The sequence below is a fragment of the Homo sapiens genome, chromosome 13 (genome assembly GCF_000001405.40).
Source record: "Homo sapiens chromosome 13, GRCh38.p14 Primary Assembly".
Classification (NCBI taxonomy): Eukaryota; Metazoa; Chordata; class Mammalia; order Primates; family Hominidae; genus Homo; species Homo sapiens.
The window spans coordinates 20,061,410-20,080,478 of NC_000013.11; the positions used below are offsets into that span (position 1 = coordinate 20,061,410).

The window sequence follows — 19,069 nt, forward strand, 5'->3', positions numbered from 1 at the left end:
ATATCCGAAGCAGGAATTTGGTCTTTGGTCTCTGTTTTAAGCAGGATTTGACTTGTAAAATCAACTCAAAATTATTCTTGTTAATGGAGTAGTGCTGATGCAAAACTATAATAACTTGTAGTAGACTCTAATGATGATCAAAACTCTTATTTTGTAATAGTTATCCCTAGTTTTTTGTTTTGTTTTGTTTTTTTTTTTAGATGAACTCTTGCTCTGTTGCCCAGGGTGGAGTGTAGTAGCATGATCCCGGTTCACTGAGATCTCTGCCTCCTGGGTTCAAGCTATGCTTCTGCCTCAGCCTCCTGAGTAGCTGGAATTACAGGCACGTGCCACCACGCCCAGCCAATTTTTGTCTTTTTAGTAGAGACAGGGCTTCCCTATGTTGGCCAGGCTGATCTCAAACTCCTGACCTCAGGTGATCCACCTGCTTCCCAAAGTGCTGGTATTACAGGTGTGAGCTACCACACCCAGCCCCTAGTTTTCTTTTATTGCTTATACTAATAAAATAATTTGCATTATCTAAACCAGAGTTTATCTTAACCTCTGTTAGGGCAGTGCTTGCGCTACATGGTATAACGTGATGAGTGTGTTGTGGATGGTTCTAAGTCACTTAGAATATTTATTTTCCACCCTTAACCCTCTCTTGATACCCAAAGTCCTATTTCAACCTTGAGCTAATTCTTACCCTTACCCTAGAGGACAATCAAAATACTATAATTTTCTCTGGATTTAATAATGAGACAGTGTTTTTGAAGCACTGTGGTAAGGAGTTGTGAAATTAGTGGGTTGCAACCAGTGTTTTTGTTTAAGAAAAGAAAAAGCTAAGTGGAATAGGGTAAGAGAAATGACAGTGTGAATCCCTCATAGAAAGGGTAAGTATTATTTTGTGAAACCAGTGTGTATACAGATGTCTTTCTGTTCCCCACCATCACCTTGCAGTATGTGCTGGATAAAATGCATTTCTTGCCATGATTACAACACAAAAACACTTGAAAGCAACTGATCGAACCATTAAAAGGCAGTTGTTAATATGCATATATTGAACAATCTGAGAAACCTGGGTCAAAATTCAAAGAGTATTGAAAACTACAGTTGTCTACCCTCATTAGTTTATTTTTGACAAAAAGTTGCTTTTAGAAATACTTTACTTGTTGAAGTTGTTTTACTATCAAAGCATACCTATTAGCTTTTGAAGGGAGTCCTCCTGTAAAATTTATAGGATTAAAAGTTTTCATGTGCTTGTGACTAATTATGAGGTTTATAGTGGTTTACATTTTGAGATAGTTATATATATAATATGCCCTTTTCTTTTGTGACATTATACGTATTTTTTTATATTGCATTTAAAATTAAATGACTTGCTTTTGCCAGATTAAATACAGATACCATTGGGGTTTTCTGTTTTGATTCCTAATGATAATATGGATTGATTTCAGGTGTAATTATTGAAACAGATATAATTGGTTCAGACCTTTTGAAGAACTCTGACCCAGAGACACAGTCCAGCATGCCTGATGTACCATATGAACCAGATTTGGATATCGAAATAGATTTTCCCAGAGGTACTCAAAACCTTTATGACTATGGAATTTAGTTATGGAGTCAACTGTGGTTATGATCATTTACCATTTGATGTTTGTGTCATTGCCTTTTAGCAGTGTTCATATTTTTTATTCTTGTTATTTTTTAAACTCACCTTAAGAGTTAACTTCATATTTTGTTGTTGTTTTTTTTTAAAAACCCACCTTAACAGTTAACTTCTGGAATGAGATCACTTGAGTCCAGGAGTTCAAGACCAGCCTGGGCAATGTGGTGAAACACTGTCTCTACTAAAAATATAAAAATTAGCCAGGCGTGGTGGTGCATGCCTGTAATCCCAGCTACTCGGGAGGCTGAGGCAGGAGGATTGCTTGAGCCCAGGAGGTAGAGGTTGCAGTGAGCCGAGATTGTGCTACTGCACTCCAGCTTGGGCAGCAGAGTGAGACCCTGTCTTTAAAAAAAAAAAAAAAAAAAAAAATTCTAGAAGTAATTCATTATAGAAAGTTTAAAGAAGTGTTTGTGTCCTTTTTAATTTAAAAATGTTGTTAGCATCTGGGTGCGGTGGCTTATGCCTGTAATCCCAGCACTTTGGGAGGCCGAGGTGGGTGGATCACCTGAGGTCAGGAGTTTGAGACCAGCCTGGCCAACGTCGTGAAACCCCGTCTCTACTGAAAATACAAAAATTAGCTGGGCGTGGTGGTGAGTGCCTGTAATCCCAGCTACTGGGGAGGCTGAGGCAGAATTGCTTGAACTCAGGAGGCGGAGGTTGCAGTGAGCCAAGACTGCACCATTGCACTCCAACCTAGGCAACAAGAGCAAAACTCTGTCTCAAAAAATATATATATATAAAAAATATATAATATATATAATACATAAATATAATTTTATATATTATATACATCATGATGTATATAATATATAAATATATACAATATATAATATAAATATAATTTTATATATAATATATATTTTATATATATTATATAGTTTTTATATATATAATATATATAGTTAGCTTTTTTTTAAGATCCTTTGAAAATTAAGTTCACCTTCAAAGGAAAAATTATTTTCAGGTCTTTTGTAAAATAAGTGTGCCCCATTTTTCATTATTTTCTTAATCCATGGATGGCTAATGAGCACACTGAGTAGAATGTAAAACATTAGTTTTTGGAAAAAACATTTAATAGATTGAATCAGATTTGTACCAAGACCATTTAGATCTTGTAATTGGATTTCAGACTATAATAATTTTTCTGGTATCATACATTTTCATGAAAATTTTATGTTGATATTCATTTTATATATGTTTTTAGGAGTTTGAACAGTGTTTGTCAGAATTCACAAACCATGTTAGGTACAATGAGTCATTTACTCCCCAGCCCAGCCTAGATTGTCCCCATGTATGAATGCTGGTTTACATCCTGTGGTTAGTTCTTTGTTGGCTGTGTTTATGTAACCCTGTGCTATTTCATTTAAAATAAAAGTTCTGATTTGGTTGTCAGCTGCTGAGGAGCTTGATATGGAAAATGAATTTTTATTACCACCTGTTTTTGGCGAAGAATATGAGGAACAGCCCAGACCTCGATCTAAAAAAAAGGTACATTCACTTAATAGCCTATATAACAATATTTCTCTATAGGCAAACAAGGATACAGTGTTCTTTTAGTGTGCCTGAGAATATGGGAACATATTTTGTTTTCTAGGTTGGAAAATAATTTATTTTCTATTTATATAGAATATAGTAATAATATATTACTGCTATTTATTACTATTATTTATTACTATTTCTATTTGTATAGAAATAGTAATTATTACTATTTCTAGTAATAATAGTAGTAATAATTTATTTCTAGTAATAATTTATTACTGTTTCTAAGTAATAAAAATATCTCAGATTTAGTTGATACCTCAACTAAACTTGTATTGATACAAGGTCAAAATAGAAAACAGTTGCTAAAGTAGTAAGTTCAATTATTTGACAAAAATTTAGACTGTTTTCTAGGGAGCTGTTTTTTCCACGATTATTTCTGATGAGATGATCAGTGGGGTTGAAGTACACAGTTTATTATTTCTGGTCTCTTTTAGGCATACCAACACACATAGAAAGACATGCTGGACAGTTTGATCATTCAGGTAGACCAAATCTACATGCATTAACAAGTGTAATTGTTATAATATTCTGTCAACTTTCTGTGTTTCTGACTTCCAACATAAAGCAGGTTTTAAAAATACCTTAAGAAAGATAGCTTTCACAAATTGTCCCCAAAAGAAAGAAAAAAAACCGGAAAAGGGAGAGAATACTTGGAGTGGAATGAAGGTGGACTTCTGCTTGACACCAAACACAACAATTAACTCAAAATGAGCCATAGACCTAAATGTAAGAGCTAACAATATAAAACTCTTAGAAGAAAACATAGGCCTAAATCTTAATGGCCTTATGTTAGGCAGTTTCTTAGGTAAGATACCAAACGCACAGGGAAGAAAAGGAAAAATAAATAAATAAACTGGACTACATCAAAATTAAAAACTTTTGCATTGCAAACAGTGCCATCAGGAAAGTGAAAAGGGGGCCAGGCACAGTGGCACCTGTAATCCCAGCACTTACAGCACTCAGGAAGGCTGAGGCGGGAAGATTGGTGGAGCCCAAGAGTTTGAGACCAGCCTGGGCAACATAGTGAGACCTCTACAAAAACTAAAAAATAAAAACCAGCCAGGCATGGTGGCACGTGCCTGCAGTCCCAGCTACCCAGGAGGAGGATCGAGGCTGCAGTGAGCTATGATCGTGCCACTGCACTCCAGCTTGGGCAACAGAGCAAGACCTCTCCTCAAAACAGAACTCCAGCATGGATACTTACCTGGCAGGGGAGATACCGTGATTACAAAACTCTAGCATGGGTGACAGAGCAAGGCCCTGTCTTAAAAAAACAAAAATAAAACAATAAAATAAAAAAGTGAAAAGTACTTAAGTGTCACTCTCTATAAGGTGGAGTTGTTGAAAAGTTCTTCAGTTTCTGTTACAGTAATATTTAGATTATTAGTTTATTGTCTTATATTTATTTTCTCATCATTGGTGACTCTCACCACAGAATTTAATATGATTTTGTTGCACAAAGTGATTTATGTAGAAACATCACATTTCCTGGAATATTAATTGACTGTTGTCAGATTCAGGAATACCAGTCAGTTCAAAGCAAATACCTATATTTCATTTTTTCTTTTCTAATTTCATGACACATTAAACAAATAACTATATTTTTATGACAGATTAAACAGATAACTATATTTGTAATTACAGATGACCGTTGTACAATGCAGTGGTTGGGCTCTGATCCCCCCTGCACAGTCACAAATTTGTGTATAACTTTTGACTCCCTAAAAAGTTAAGTACTAGTAGCCTACTCTTCACTGAGCCCCCCTGCACAGTCAAAAATTCATGTATTACTTTTGACTCCCTAAAAAGCTAACTACTAGTAGCCTACTGTTGACTGGAAGCCTTGCTGATAACAGTTGATTAACACATATTTTATATGCTACATACTGTATTTTTATAATAAAGTTAGCTAGAGAAAATGTTATCAAGAGAATCATATGGGAGAGAAAATATATTTACGATTCATTAGGTGGAAATAGATCATCCTCATTGTCTTCAAGTTGAGTAGGCTGAGGAGGAAGAGGAGAGAGGTTGATCTTGCTGTCTCAGGTGGCACGATTGGAAGAGGTAGAAGGAGGTTGGAGAGGCAGGCACACAGAAAAACATACGTGTCCAAGTGGACCCCTGCAGTTCAAACCCATGTTGCTCAAGGGTCAATTGTAATTTGCCTTTGTTGAGAGATGGCTTGTATAAAGTAATGAAATAATGTAGGCTTTAAAAAAGATATTATTATGGTGTTTTTTACTAATAGGGAGCCAAGAGAAAGGCTGTATCAGGATACCAGTCTCATGATGATAGTTCTGACAATTCAGAATGCAGCTTTCCTTTCAAATATACGTATGGCGTAAATGCATGGAAACACTGGGTCAAAACTAGGCAACTTGATGAAGATCTTCTGGTATTAGATGAGTTAAAATCTTGTAAGTGTTTTAATTTTGTTTCTCCTAAGTCCTATTTAAAATCAAGATTTCTGTTATTGAGTACCTTTAAATTTAAAAAACATAAATGTAACTTAAAATACCTGTAAGAATGCATTTTATTTTACTTCAGAGCTCTTACAAAGAATAACGTCAGAAAGTTTCTTAACCTTAATAAGACGCTAAATAATAACAATTATTTTTTATTTTATGTATTTTTAGCTAAATCAGTAAAGTTAAAAGAGGATCTACTCTCTCACACCACAGCTGAGCTTAACTATGGGTTAGCTCATTTTGTCAATGAGATCCGACGGCCAAATGGAGAGAATTATGCACCTGACAGCATCTATTACCTTTGCCTTGGAATACAGGAGGTTAGTAATTTGATGGCTGCTTTCAAGTATAACATTAATAAGAAAAGTTGTGGTAGTTCTTGTTTCTGTAGCATTATGGAACCTTTATTGACTTACCAAGAAACACATCTACAAAGTTGTATGTTTGCTGCCATTTATATATAAATGATAATCAGGATGACATTCTTTCCTTACCCATTGCAGATAAGTGAATTCACATTATAAGGCATGATATGTAGCCACATCTGGCTATAGATCCATGCTGATCTACATGTAAACAGAAAAATGTCATAACTCTGTAAATAGGTCTGTTTCACTGTATGCTTCTGATGTGTTTCTAACTTGTTAAATAGTATAACTACTCATTAATTCTTTGGCTATTTCATAAAAAGAGATCATTCTTTAGGGGTAAAGATAAACTTCATCCACATGTCTATGAATTTGTTTTCTACAGTAAACATGGAGATCAACTTTAAATAATGACCTCTAGTTCTGAACAGATTCCACAGATTTGTGCCCAGAAGTCAGAAAGAATCTCCAACTTGACATTCTATGTATTTTGAAATATGGTAGATGACAGGGGAGATCTCTTCAGAGTTTTGTTTGTAGGCCTAAAAATTCATTTTATTCTGCTAACAGGTGTTAGATAATGAAGTAAATCACTGAAGAAAACTAGAATTGTCTTAATTTGTGTTTTTTTTACTTTTTCTTTAGGATAGAAATTTGCTTAAGATTCTGTAAGTGGTGGTGCAGATATATAGTGCATGGCTATAAATCACTGTATTCAAGGACCATCATATATCTTGCAGTAGCAACCTAAAAGATACGTGAATAGGTTTACTTTTTTCTTATTCTCGTTTTATAGGTTTACATGTACTTTGAGCCTCATGCTTAGATGATAATATAGGTCCACCATTCCACAAACCTCTGAAAAGCAGAATTTTTTTCATGAAAACACAGTAAACAGTAAAACCTAACTTAAAGGATTGTGAAGCTGTTGTTGTCTTTATTACTCTTGGTGTTAATATTCGTCCATAGAACATTAACCATAGAATTTACTATAGAATTGTTAATGTTTCTAAACAAGTACAGAGTGTTTACCCACACCACTCTAGGAATATTAATGTATTATAATTATGTACATGCCCTGTTTCCCCTGTAAAATCCAAACAATGATGAATTCCAAAACATGTGACTCCAGTGGTTCTGGCTGAGGGGTTGAAGATCCATGTGTGTATTTTCCCTCCTCTTCTTTTATTATACCTAGGAGGGAGGGGGAGACTAGGAGTAGCATTTATACTGTACCAGGTGTAGATGAAATTGTCTTGGTCCTCTAGTTTCAGAACAATTTATTTAAGGAGAACATTTATATTTTAGAAATAATTCTGTTATCTAGATCAATTATTTTTTAAAGTGCTGTAGAGAGCACTAGCGTTGTGCCATATCAACTCAGCAGGAAGAGAGTTTGAGTTCTAGGCTCCTCTTGTTTTAATTCATTCCTACTTTTGGGGGCTGTGTTTTGGGGTTATGTATGGAATTTCATTTAGAAATTTCATTTCTGGTAGAAACAAGGCTTAAAAACATATTTAGATAATAAAACTTTTAAAATCAATAAAAACAACAAAATAAGGGGTTCTCTGCCCCACTGATCTCTAGTCTACCTAGTTCCTCTCCCTAAGGACGTGCTTTTTGCTCTTTTAGCTATTTCCCCTGGCATTACTTGCAAAATATAACTGATTTTTATATATTCATCAGTTCACTATTCTAGTAGGTGGTCTTGTTTTGTTATTTTTTAAATATATCTTAGAATTTTCTATATACACAATCATGTCACCTATGAATAAGGACAGTTTTACCTCTTTCTGATCTTTCTTTGCTTTGCTTTACTACATTGCTTGAAACCTTCCCCCATTTTTCTCTCCTGCCACCCAAACCCTAGTCCTAGTACAGTGTTGAATGGAATTAGTGATAGCAGAAACTCTTGCCTAGTTCCTGATCTTAGAGGAAAGTATTTTGTCTTTGACCATTAAGTACGATGCACCCTTTAGGGTTTTTTTTTTGGTAGCTCCCTGTTACCAAGTTGAGGAACTTTTCTTCCATTCTTAGTTGACTGAGAATTTTTTCAACTTTTTATTTTGTTGCTGAGAGTTGTTTTTTTTTTAATTATAAATGCTTATTGAATTTTGTCAACGCCTTTTTCTGCATCTATTAAGATACGGATTTTTCTTCTCCTATTAATAATGGTATGAATATAAATTAATTTTCAGACATTAAACCAGCCTAGCATTCTTGGGATAGACTCCAATTGATAATGTTATCCTTTTTATATATTGCCAGATTAGATGTGCAGATATATTGGTGATGATTTTTGCAGATGTTCATAAGGATAAGTAGTTCAGAGTTTTCTTTTTTTAACGATAATTTATATTTATAAAGAACATTGTTCTATGAACAACAACAACAAAAACTCAGAAAAAAAAAAGTGATCAGAGTATTATTTATCACAAATAAGGCAACTAATGCCCTGGTATCTCAAAATCCTTTACAAAAGGAGATAGCTTCATAAGATCTAGTCAAGGGGTTTTTGGTATGTTACTTTTTTTTTCTTTTATGTTACTTTGTTTTTCTTTTCATCTGCTTCCATCTTAAGCATAATTTCTTCAGCTGTAAGACCTCCCACTTGCTTATTCTTTGCTTACTTAACTTTTTGTTTGATGCTGGCCACATGAATTTTAGTTTCAGTAGAAGCTTCCTTAGGTTTCACATCTGGTTTTTCTTTAGATGGAATTAAAGTTTTGCTTCTTTGCTCATCTCTTACCGAGGGCTTCTGCTTGTTTAGCCTTTATTGCTTCCATTTGCTGCTACTGCTTCTGATTTGCCTTCGAAAAGTATTCACCACTAGCCAGTTCGTTATCAATCTGACTTTCTGGCTGTGGTGGTGGGAATGGTGTATATTCTTTCTTAACATTTTTTTTTCTTTGGTTCCTTGCATTTATTCATATTTGTATGTTTGAATTGTGGCAAAAATCTCTCCCAACTTTGTGGTTGAAATTCAGAGTCTTTTGCCAACTCTTTTAGTCATTAAGGTTTTAATATTATAAATAGGATGCATATTCTTCATAGTATATAGGACTACTTTTCAAACCTTTTTTTTATTTTTTTGAGATGGAGTCTCGCTCTGTCACCAGGCTGGAGCCCAGTGGCGCGATGTTGGCTCACTGCAACCTCCGCCTCCCGGGTTCAAGCAATTCCTCTGCCTCAGTCCCAAGTAGCTGGGACTACAGGTGCACACCACCACGCCCGGCTAATTTTTTATATTTTAGTAGAGACGAGGTTTCACCATGTTGGCCAGGATGGTCTTGATCTCCCGACCTCGTGATCCACCCATCTCAGCCTCCCTAAGTGCTGGGATTACATGCGTGAGCCACTGCGCCCAGCCAGTTTCAAACCTCTTTTTTAAGTCACTAAAAGGTCCAGTGGCTGAAACTGTGTTTCCCTGCATCATAATGGAGCAAGTACATTAAGAGTTCTTCAGTGTAGATCCTTTGAGACCAATAAGCCATTGTCTTTTTACAAATCTCTTTATTTCTTACTAAATAACCTATTTTAATGATGTTACATGCAACATCATCTGGAAGAACTTGCACTGCCTGTTCAAATGAAACAGTCCTTGCTAACAGTTCTAGATCTCTGGTCCCAATGATCATATATGAATCAAAAGTCTTCTGGTTTTTTTTTGAGAGTCTTGCTCTGTCATCCAGGCTGGAGTGCAGTGGCACCATCTTGGCTCACTGCAACCTCTGCCTCCGGGTTCAAGCAATTCTCCTGAGGAGGCTGGCATTACAGGTGCCCACCATCATGCCCAGCTAATTTTTTGTATTTTTTAGTACAAGTCTTTGTACTTCTGTTAACGGAAGGAAAGTCTTGAGTGTTAATTGTCCAGGTTCTTGGCGTTTTGAACAAAGGATTGGACAAAATGCGTAAACAACAAAGGAACGAAGCAGCGAAAGCAGAAATTTGTTAAAGCAAGAAAGCACTGAATAGGGTGGGAATGGGCCTGAGCAAGTGGCTCTAGGGCTGAGTTACAAAGTCTTCTTGGTTTTAAGTACTCCTTTTGAGGTCCTTATTGGTTGCCCCTTATCTGGATGAAGGATTTGGTCTAATACTAATAAAAGGCTGAGGTGAATTGGCCCCCTGTGCAGATGAAGGGATGGTCCCTGCTTGGCCCGTGGCCAGTCCAGGGCACTCTCTCTTTCCACCTGAGACCTGGCAGAAGGGAGAGGATTGTAGGGAGAGTAGCCTTTGCTATGTGGGCATGGGGAGATGGGGTTTTCCTTTCTGGTTCAGCTTTAGGAAGTTGGCATTAATTGGCCTTAAGTTCCCTGCCCCCAGGTGTTTTCCCTTGATTCACCATGAATGACTTTAATTTCTCTGCCTCCAGACCCCATCTTTCTGCCTCAGTTCAAACAGTCATGCTGCCCTGGATCCAGTGCAGGGTTGCGTTAACATTGATGTTCGTTCAAGGCTTTCTGCACCAATGGCCAGCACTTTCTAGTAAGCTTCTCTGTATTTTGGGAACAAAGTTATATAATTGCTTTCCTTTAAGAGTCCTCTGGGATTGTCCTCTTTGGAAAGAGCTGTTTCCTTCCAACCATCAGGAACAGTAAGGAATTCCGATTCATCTTGGTCTCTTCAGCTTCCGCTTCTGGTTATGAAATTCACTGTTTCCAGCCCCCTTTCTGGCCGGTTCAGAGAGGAAGACACCATTTTCAAATTGCTTCTGGTGGAGCTGGAAATAAACTTGAAAGTTCTCTTGTCTTTACCTGGCTTTGGTTTGAGGGTAGTAGTGGCTTCATAAAATGAGTTGGGGCTGGGCACGAGGGTTCACGCCTGTAATCCCAACACTTTGGGAGGCCAAGGCAGGTGGATCGCCTGAGGTTCAGGAGTTCTAGACCAGCCTGGCCGACATGGTGAAATGCTGTCTCTACTAAAAATACAAAAATTAGCTGGGTGTAGTGGCGAGCACCTGTAGTCCCAGCTACTTGGGAGGCTGAGGCTGGAGAATTGCTTGAACCTGGGAGGCGGAGGTTGCAGTGAGCTGAGATCACGCCATTGCACTCCAGCCTGGGCAGCAAGAGCAAAACTCCATCTCAAAAATAAATAAATAAATAATAATTTTTAAAAAAGAGTTGGGAAATATTCCTTCCTCCTATTTTCTGAAAGAATTTGTGAGAATTGGCATTCTTCCTTAAATATGCAATAGAATTCACCAGTGAAGCCATATAGGCTTAGGATTACTTTTTGTGGTGGGGGTGGCAGGGTGTGGATGGGTGTGGTTTTTAATCACTTAATCAGTTCCTTTAGTTGATATCAACTGTTTAGATTTCCTGTTTCTTCTTGTACCACTTTTAGCAATTTTGTCTTTCAAGAAATGATGCATTTCATCAAAGTCGTCAAATTTGTTAGCCTAAGTTTGGTAATATTTTCTTATTATCCTTTCATTCCTGATACTGGTAATCTGTGCCTTCTTTTTGTTTCTTAGTTCTTTTTTTTTTTTGAGACAAAGTCTCACTTTGTCGCACAGGCTGGTGTGCAGTGGTGTGATTTTGGCTCACTGCAACCTCTGCCTCCCAGATTCAAGTGAATCCCTGCCTCAGCCTCCCAAGTAGCTGGGATTACAGGTGCCTGCCACCACATCTGGCTAATTTTTGTATTTTTAGTAGAGACAGGACTTCACCACGTTGGCCAGGCTGGTCTTGAATTCCAGACCTCAAGTGATCCGCCTGCCCCAGTTTTCCAAAGTGCTGGGATTACAGGTGTGAGCCACCATGCCCAGCCTCTTTTTGTATCTTGAACAATCCAGCTCAGGAATCAGCCAACTTTTTCGTAAAGGGCAAGATAGTAAATAATTTAGGCCTTGCAGACCAAGAGGTAAAAATTTAGACTGTAATATAGCTACTTATATATAACTGCTTTAAGTTGTAACCATTTATAAAAGAATAAAAAACAATCCTTAGCTCATAGGTTTGTGGGATTGGGCCCATGGAGCTAGCTAGGTCTGTATAGTTGGCCTAGACACTCATGTAGCTAAAGGTGTATCATTTTAATTTTTCTCTTGTATTGAGTCTGAGTTGTATTATTTCCTTTCTTAATTTGCTCTCTTTTTATCCAGTTTCTTAAGATGTAAGCTTAGATAATTGATTTTAGTGTTTCTTCTTTTTCAGGAAAGCATTTAAAACTAAAATTTTCTCTAAAACTAGTTTACTTACATCACGAATTTTTATATGTTGTGTTTTAATTTTCCTTGACTTAAGGAAAATGCTATCACAGGAAGTTGAATCTCTGGATTGCCTTTTATTAAATGATTATTTAAATAATTAGGACTTCAATACCGTTAAGAGGTTTTGAGAGCTAAGTGGATTGTGTAATAAATTATGAAGTATGTCTTAAATAGTTTTTTTTTCTCTCAGTTTTTGTTGTAGTAAAATATACATAACATAAAATTTACGGTTTTAAGCATTTTTAAGGGTGCGGTGCAGTGGCATTAAGTACATTCACATTGTTGTGCAACCAGCATCACCATCTATCTCTAGAACTCTTTTCATCTTGCAGAACTGAAACTCTGTACTCATTAAATAATAACTCTCCATTTCCTTCTCTACTGAGCCCTGTAAGCCACTTTTCTACTTTCTATCTCTATGATTTTGACTACCATAGGCACCTCATATAAGTGGAATCATGCAGTATTTGTCCTTTTTAGTCTGGCTTATTTCATGTAGCATAATATACTCAAGGTTCATCTGTGTTGTGTAGCATATGTCAGAATTTGTGTGTGTGTGTGTGTGTGTGTGTGTGTGTGTGTGTGTGTGAGAGAGACAGAGAGACAGGGTCTCACTCTGGCGCCCAGGCTGGAGTCCAGTGGCATGAACTTTGCTTAGTATACCCTCAACCTCCCAGGCTCAAGTGATCCTCCTGCCTCAGCCCTTTAGGTGGCTGGGAATGTGGGCACGTACCACCATACCTGGCTAACTAACTTCTCTATTTTTTGTAGAGATGGGGTTTCGCCATGTTGACCAGTCTGGTCTCGAACTCCTGGGCCCAAGCAATCCACCTTCCTCAGCCTCCCAAAGTGCTGGAATTAACAGGCATGAGCCACTGTGCCCGGCTTCCTTCCTTTTTTTTTTTTTGAGACGGAGTCTTACTCTGTCGCCCAGGCTGGAGTGCAGTGGCGCGATCTCAGCTCACTGCAAGCTCCGCCTCCTGGGTTCACGCCATTCTCCTGCCTCAGCCTCCCGAGTAGCTGGCACTACAGGCGCCTGCAACCACGCCCGGCTAATTTTTTGTATTTTTAGTAGAGACGAGGTTTCACCGTGTTAGCCGGGACGGTCTCGATCTCCTGACCTCGTGATCCGCCTGCCTTGGCCTCCCAAAGTGTTGGGATTACAGGTGTGAGCCACTGCGCCCGGCCTTCCTTCCTTTTTAAAATAGGTTCCTTATGTATTGATGAATGCTTTATCAAAAAGTTGTTTTACTACTAAACTGCACATTTAAAAATGGTTAAGATGGTAATTTTTTTGTTCTACAGTTTACCAAAATTTTTAAAAATTGTGGAATATCTATTTTTATTATTGGATACATTTTCACAGACTTGTTTTCAAAGACTGTGGTATTTATAAGCAGCTTTAAAAGTAATCCTGAAACTCAGTGTAAAGATAAGATAACTAAAGTAAACTTTCCAGAAATCAGTGCTGTTTAATATTAGTTCAAGATGTGTACAGAAATAGAAGCTATTTTTGGAAAAGTGTGCATATTTTTCTGTCTGTTGGATTCATTAGTTTTGCTCACAGCTGACAATAAAGATACAGTTGACAGGAAGTATGATTTTCTTCCGTATGTCTATGGAAGAAACAGTATCTTTTTTTGTAAGGACTAAGTCTTATGAATGTATACTGAAGTAAGTAGTCACTTCTGTTTTGTACATTGAAAAATTAAACATAATTGTAAATAGCTGGTACTGTATGAAAGGGGAGCTCGGCCTTATTTTTTCTTGTTTTGTTTGTTTGTTTGTTTTTCTTACTCTTTCTCAAAGTAACTGACTTTCCTCCACTGATTTTGTATAAGGAACGGTGGTTATTGTTAAATGTTCACATAATATGAAAATGTTTGAGGAAGAAGGAAAATGATAGGAAATCCTACGATAACCATCATTAACATTTCATGATCATTCTTTCATACACTGTTTTACATATGTGAACACATATCCGTCATACTAAATTTATTATGAATAGAACTATAGACACCTTTTTTTTTTTTTTTTTTTTTTTTTTTTTTTTGGAGACAGAGTCTCTATCGCCCAGGCTGGAGTGCAGTGGCGCCATCTCGGCTTAATGCAATCTCCGCTTCCTGGGTTTAAGCAATTCTTCTGCCTCAGCCTCCTCCCAAGTAGCTGGGATTACAGGAATGAGCCACCATTCCTGGCTAGTTGGGTTTTTTTTCCCCCCCATCCCGTAGAGACGAGGTTTCGCCATGTTGGCCAGGCTGGTCTCAAACGCCTGATCTCAGGTGATCCCCCCACCTCAGCCTCCCAAAGTTCTAGGATTACAGGCATGAGCCACCATGCCAGCCACTTTTTTTTCTTTAATCTCCCCACCTTATCACTGTTAGCTAGATGTGTATATTTCTGTTTTTCATGAATGTGATGAAAGAGATAGTTTTGTCAGCTAGGAACACTAGACCATATTATATACTTCTACATCTTACTTTCTCTTCATCTACTTCCCAGTAAATTGTGGCAGTCCCTCTAAGTCAGCAGGAACAGGCCTAACTATGTATGTATCTCATTGTGTGCTATATCACAATTAATTTAGTAATTTCCACAATGATGAGCATTCTCTTTGTTTTATGAAATTTTGCTGTTATAGACAGTGTATACTTTCCTTCCTCCTCTGCTCCCCTCCTGCCCCACACAAATCTTCTATAATTATCCTAAAGAACTGATGCATTTGTTTCTGAGATATGATTCCAGAAGGGGTATTATTGGATCTCAAGAAAAGTATATTTTTTATTTTTAAAGATATTAACAGATTTCTTTCCCAAAATGTTTGAGGATCTTTTTGTGTTTATTGACCATTTGCTTTTCTGTGAATTGCCCCATCGTTTATCTTTTTTAGTTTGTGAGTTTCTTGTTTATTATAGACAGTAAGTCTTTGTCATTTTTCCAAATTTTTCTCCAGAATTTTTATTTTTTACTTTCTACATGTTAAGTCTTTTATATGGAGGGATGTGTTTTTTAAGAAGAAAGAACTTTATTTACTAAATTAAAAAATATAGTAAACTCACAGTGTGGCTTGTTAATTTAATTTGTATGTAAATGGGTAGTTTTCAAATAATTAAATTCTATTAAAATACATAGAGGATTTCTAAGCTTATTTAATCCTTATTCAGAGGAATTTAAGATTTATTTTTTATTTTATTTTATTTTTTTTGAGACGGAGTTTCACTCTGTCACCCAGGCTGGAGTGCAGTGGTGCGATCTCGGCACACCGCATCTCCGCCTCCCAGGTTCAAGTGATTCTCCTGCCTCAGCCTCCCGAGTACCTGGGACTACAGGCCACCATGCCCAGCTAATTTTTGTGTTTTTAGTAGAGACAGGGTTTCACCGTGTTGGCCAGGTTTGTCTCGTTCTCTTGATTACAGGCGTGAGCCACCACGCCTGGCCTCTTTATTTTTTAATAGCAGTGATGAGGTTGATTCAGGCTATTTGAAACCTTCTTTCATTGGTTAATTTAGCAAACATTAAGTGCTGTTGTATGCTGGATACTGGACATTGGAGTAGGCTTTGGAGACTGAGATAAGCATGTTGACAACTTACATTTACTGACTGTTTACTGCTTTCCACATACTATGCTACGTGCTTGATGTGTCATTCAGTCCTCTCAACAACTTTACTATAATTATCAGCATTTTTTTATGAGGAAGTAAAGTTACTTGCCCAAGTTACACAGCTCATAAATTTTGAATCTGGTGAGCAGTTTGAATTAAAAGCCATTACAATATGTTCCACTGAAAGAGTTGAAATACACAGACAAATAATATTTAAATAATGTTATGCTCGTGTTGTATACAGACTTGGTAACACAGAATTGGGACTAATTAATTCTACCTAAGTATATACAATGAAAAAGTATAGGAATTTAGATGACATTGAGTTTTAAATTTTAAATTGAGTTTTGAAGTACATATAGAAATTTATTCAGCAAAGGGATGAGAGAGGGACAATGGCAGTACAAGGGCACAGTTTACCAGGAACTACTTAGCCTGGCTGGAATGTATAATGTGAAGTGGAGAAAGCTTTGGGGTATTGAGGCTGAGGGCTGCGGTAAGTAAGAGTCATACCACAAAGGCCTCTATTCCTTGATAAAATGTTTAGATTTCATCTTTATCCAGGGAGAAACATGAAAAGGTTTTAAGTTTTTTTCTTTTTTTTTTTTTGAGAGGGAGTCTTGCTCTGTCACCCAGGCTGGAGTGCAGTGGTGTGATCTGGGTTCACGCCATTCTCCTGCCTCAGCCTCCCGAATAGCTGGGACTACAGGCGCCCGCCACCACGCCCGGCTAATTTTTTGTATTTTTAGTAGAGACGGGGTTTCACTGTGTTAGCCAGGATGGTCTCGATCTCCTGACCTCATGATCCACCCGCCTCGGCCTCCCACAGTGCTGGGATTACAGACGTGAGCCCCACTGCACCTGGCCAGTTTTAAGTATTTTTAAAGATGATACTTGAAATTTTTTTTTTCTTGGGCGTAGCATCTGAAAGCTGGAATATTTTCATTGAAACACAAATTATTGTGCAGAACTACTGATTGATAGCTTAAATTAATGGTGGATTATTTTATATTATTATTAATGAAGCTTTATTCATATAACGTTTAATAAAACAACTGATTTGAGAGACTTAGAAGTAGAATCTATCTAATAGCCCTCAAATTATGAATGTCTTATATTCCCAATATTTAATTTTATAAATTGTTATGTATATTGTTTGCACACAGTGTTTCTTGCTTTAGCTAGCTCTCCGAAACATTTGACCATATGTTTGTCATATTAGTGACAATACTTGTCTGAACAAACATGCCAATAGTCTGAACATATCTAAAATACATGCTTTTCAACTCTCTGTTAGCTGTGTTTTATGAGATTTTCATTTTGCTTCTCAAGTACTAGTACCATAATTTCTGTTTAAGTAGATATCTGTCAACGTGCTGCTTTGCCCTACAAAGCATTTTTTATCCATAAGAAACAGGGCCTTTGAAATGTGGGTAGTCTGAAATGAGAAGTGTTCTGAGTATAAAATATATACAAGATTTCAAAGAATTGGTATTTTTAAAATGTTAAATATTTTTATATTATATGTTGGGATTACATGTTTTGGATATATTGGGTTAAGTAAAATATTATACTTTTTAACTTTTAAAATGTGGCTACTAGAATAAAGTTAAATGTATAACATGTTACATTTTTATCATTCAGTACTGCTCTTTACAGATGTTCCAAAATTATTTAGGGAACTCTAGTTTTCTCATGTATAGTCCCAAAGAAATCTAAGTGAAATGAGAGACCAGTAACTCTTAAAAAAGGAATTTATATTTAAAAAAAAAAAAGATACTTTTATTGGCTGGGCGCGGTGTCTCATGCCTGTAATCCCAGCACTTTGGGAGGCTGAGGCAGGCAGATCACAACGTCAAGAGATGGAGACCATCCTGGCCAACATAGTGAAACCCCGTCTCTACTAAAAATACAAAAATTAGCCGGGTGTGGTGGCACGTGCCTGTAATCTCAGCTACTCGGGAGGCTGAGGCAGGAGAATCGCTTGAACCCTGGAGGCAGAGGTTGCATGAGCCGGGATTGCGCCACTGCATTCCAGCCTGGCAACAGAGTAAGACTCTGTCTCAAAAAAAAAAAAAAAAAAAAAAAAAAAGGATACTTAATGAATTCAAATCCCATAATTGAAGACTTTCTGTGATGATTTTTTTTTAAGAAATCTACTCTTCAGACAGGCCTATTCTATCTATAAGTTGCTGCTCTTCTTCGCAGCTTCTCCTTTGCCTCTGTTCCTGAAACCACACACAGGATTTCTTCTGTAGATTCTCATTGGTTGCAAGGGCTTTGGTGCTAAGGGAGCCATATGTGTATAGATTAGATGTTTGTAAGTTGTGACTGCCTATGGTGGAAAATAACAGCAACAATAATATGGCATTGCTTCCCATACTACCACAATAAGTAATAAAACATTTTGTAATTCATTCTGTAACAAGAACAGCAGATCATTTATCATGGATTGCCTAGAGAAACCTTTTCAGGAGGATTAAGTGTTCGCACTTCATTTAGGAACTGCTTTTAGTAGAGCTGAGTTGGGAACTTAGTTTTTGGTTTATTATTGCTAAGGTTCTAAATGTTACATAGAAATTTTCTCTTTGTACTAGATTTACAGATGAAAATAATTATTTCAGAATCATTTCCCTCATTTTTTATTACACATGTTGCTTTATGATAAAAGCAAAAAATATAAATTGCTATTCTAAACTTGGGGATTTTACTTTAGTGATTGTTTTATGTAATACCCAACTAAGTTTGTATATTTAGAAATCCAGAAACAATGCAAAAGTTTATAGTCCCGTTAAATAGCTGGAATCATGATGTTATATTTTAAGCAATCACTGCTGTTCTCATTCATAACAATGAGGATCTCCAGGTAGTTTAGGAAATGCTATTTTTAGAGCATCAACCCTTTAACTAACCCAAAAGCAGGGGAGAAACCTAGCATTGTCACTTTCTTGATTTGCCAGGCTTTTATCAGTTGGTCTATCATTGTATTTGAAAGACATTAATTAGGAGTTTTTGTTCTACTATTTTAGAATTTTGCTGACTAATATTCCTTTGACTAGTTTGAATAACATTGGATCAACTCAGATGATGGCATTCTTATGTTTTGATTAGTGTATACATGGTGTACATTTTTTCTTTTACTTTTCACTTATCTGTTCTTTTATTTAAAATAGGCTTTTTGTAGACAGCATATTGTCGAACCTTGCCTTTAAAAAAATTGAATCCGA

General features: G+C 36.8%; 1 protein-coding gene and 1 pseudogene across 36 annotated transcripts in view; one reads left to right on the forward strand and one right to left on the reverse strand.

Moving 5' to 3' along the window:
- The window catches only part of ZMYM2 (zinc finger MYM-type containing 2), a 225,276-nt gene that overhangs the window by 197,570 nt on the left and 8,637 nt on the right, over positions 1 to 19,069 (forward strand). For 30 of the 36 annotated variants that reach the window (XM_047430584.1, XM_047430585.1, NM_001353163.2 and 27 more), the window contains 4 exons: positions 1,437 to 1,562; positions 3,042 to 3,136; positions 5,442 to 5,610; positions 5,830 to 5,981. In XM_047430584.1, coding sequence (XP_047286540.1) covers positions 1,437 to 1,562; positions 3,042 to 3,136; positions 5,442 to 5,610; positions 5,830 to 5,981 — 542 coding nt within the window. Of the gene's footprint in view, positions 1 to 1,436; positions 1,563 to 3,041; positions 3,137 to 5,441; positions 5,611 to 5,829; positions 5,982 to 6,674; positions 6,948 to 10,401; positions 10,515 to 19,069 lie in introns of those variants that run through there. The other 6 variants (NM_001353165.2, XM_024449407.2, XM_047430600.1 and 3 more) reach the window with 3 other exon arrangements.
- KRR1P1 (KRR1 pseudogene 1) lies at positions 8,374 to 10,739 on the reverse strand (annotated as a pseudogene).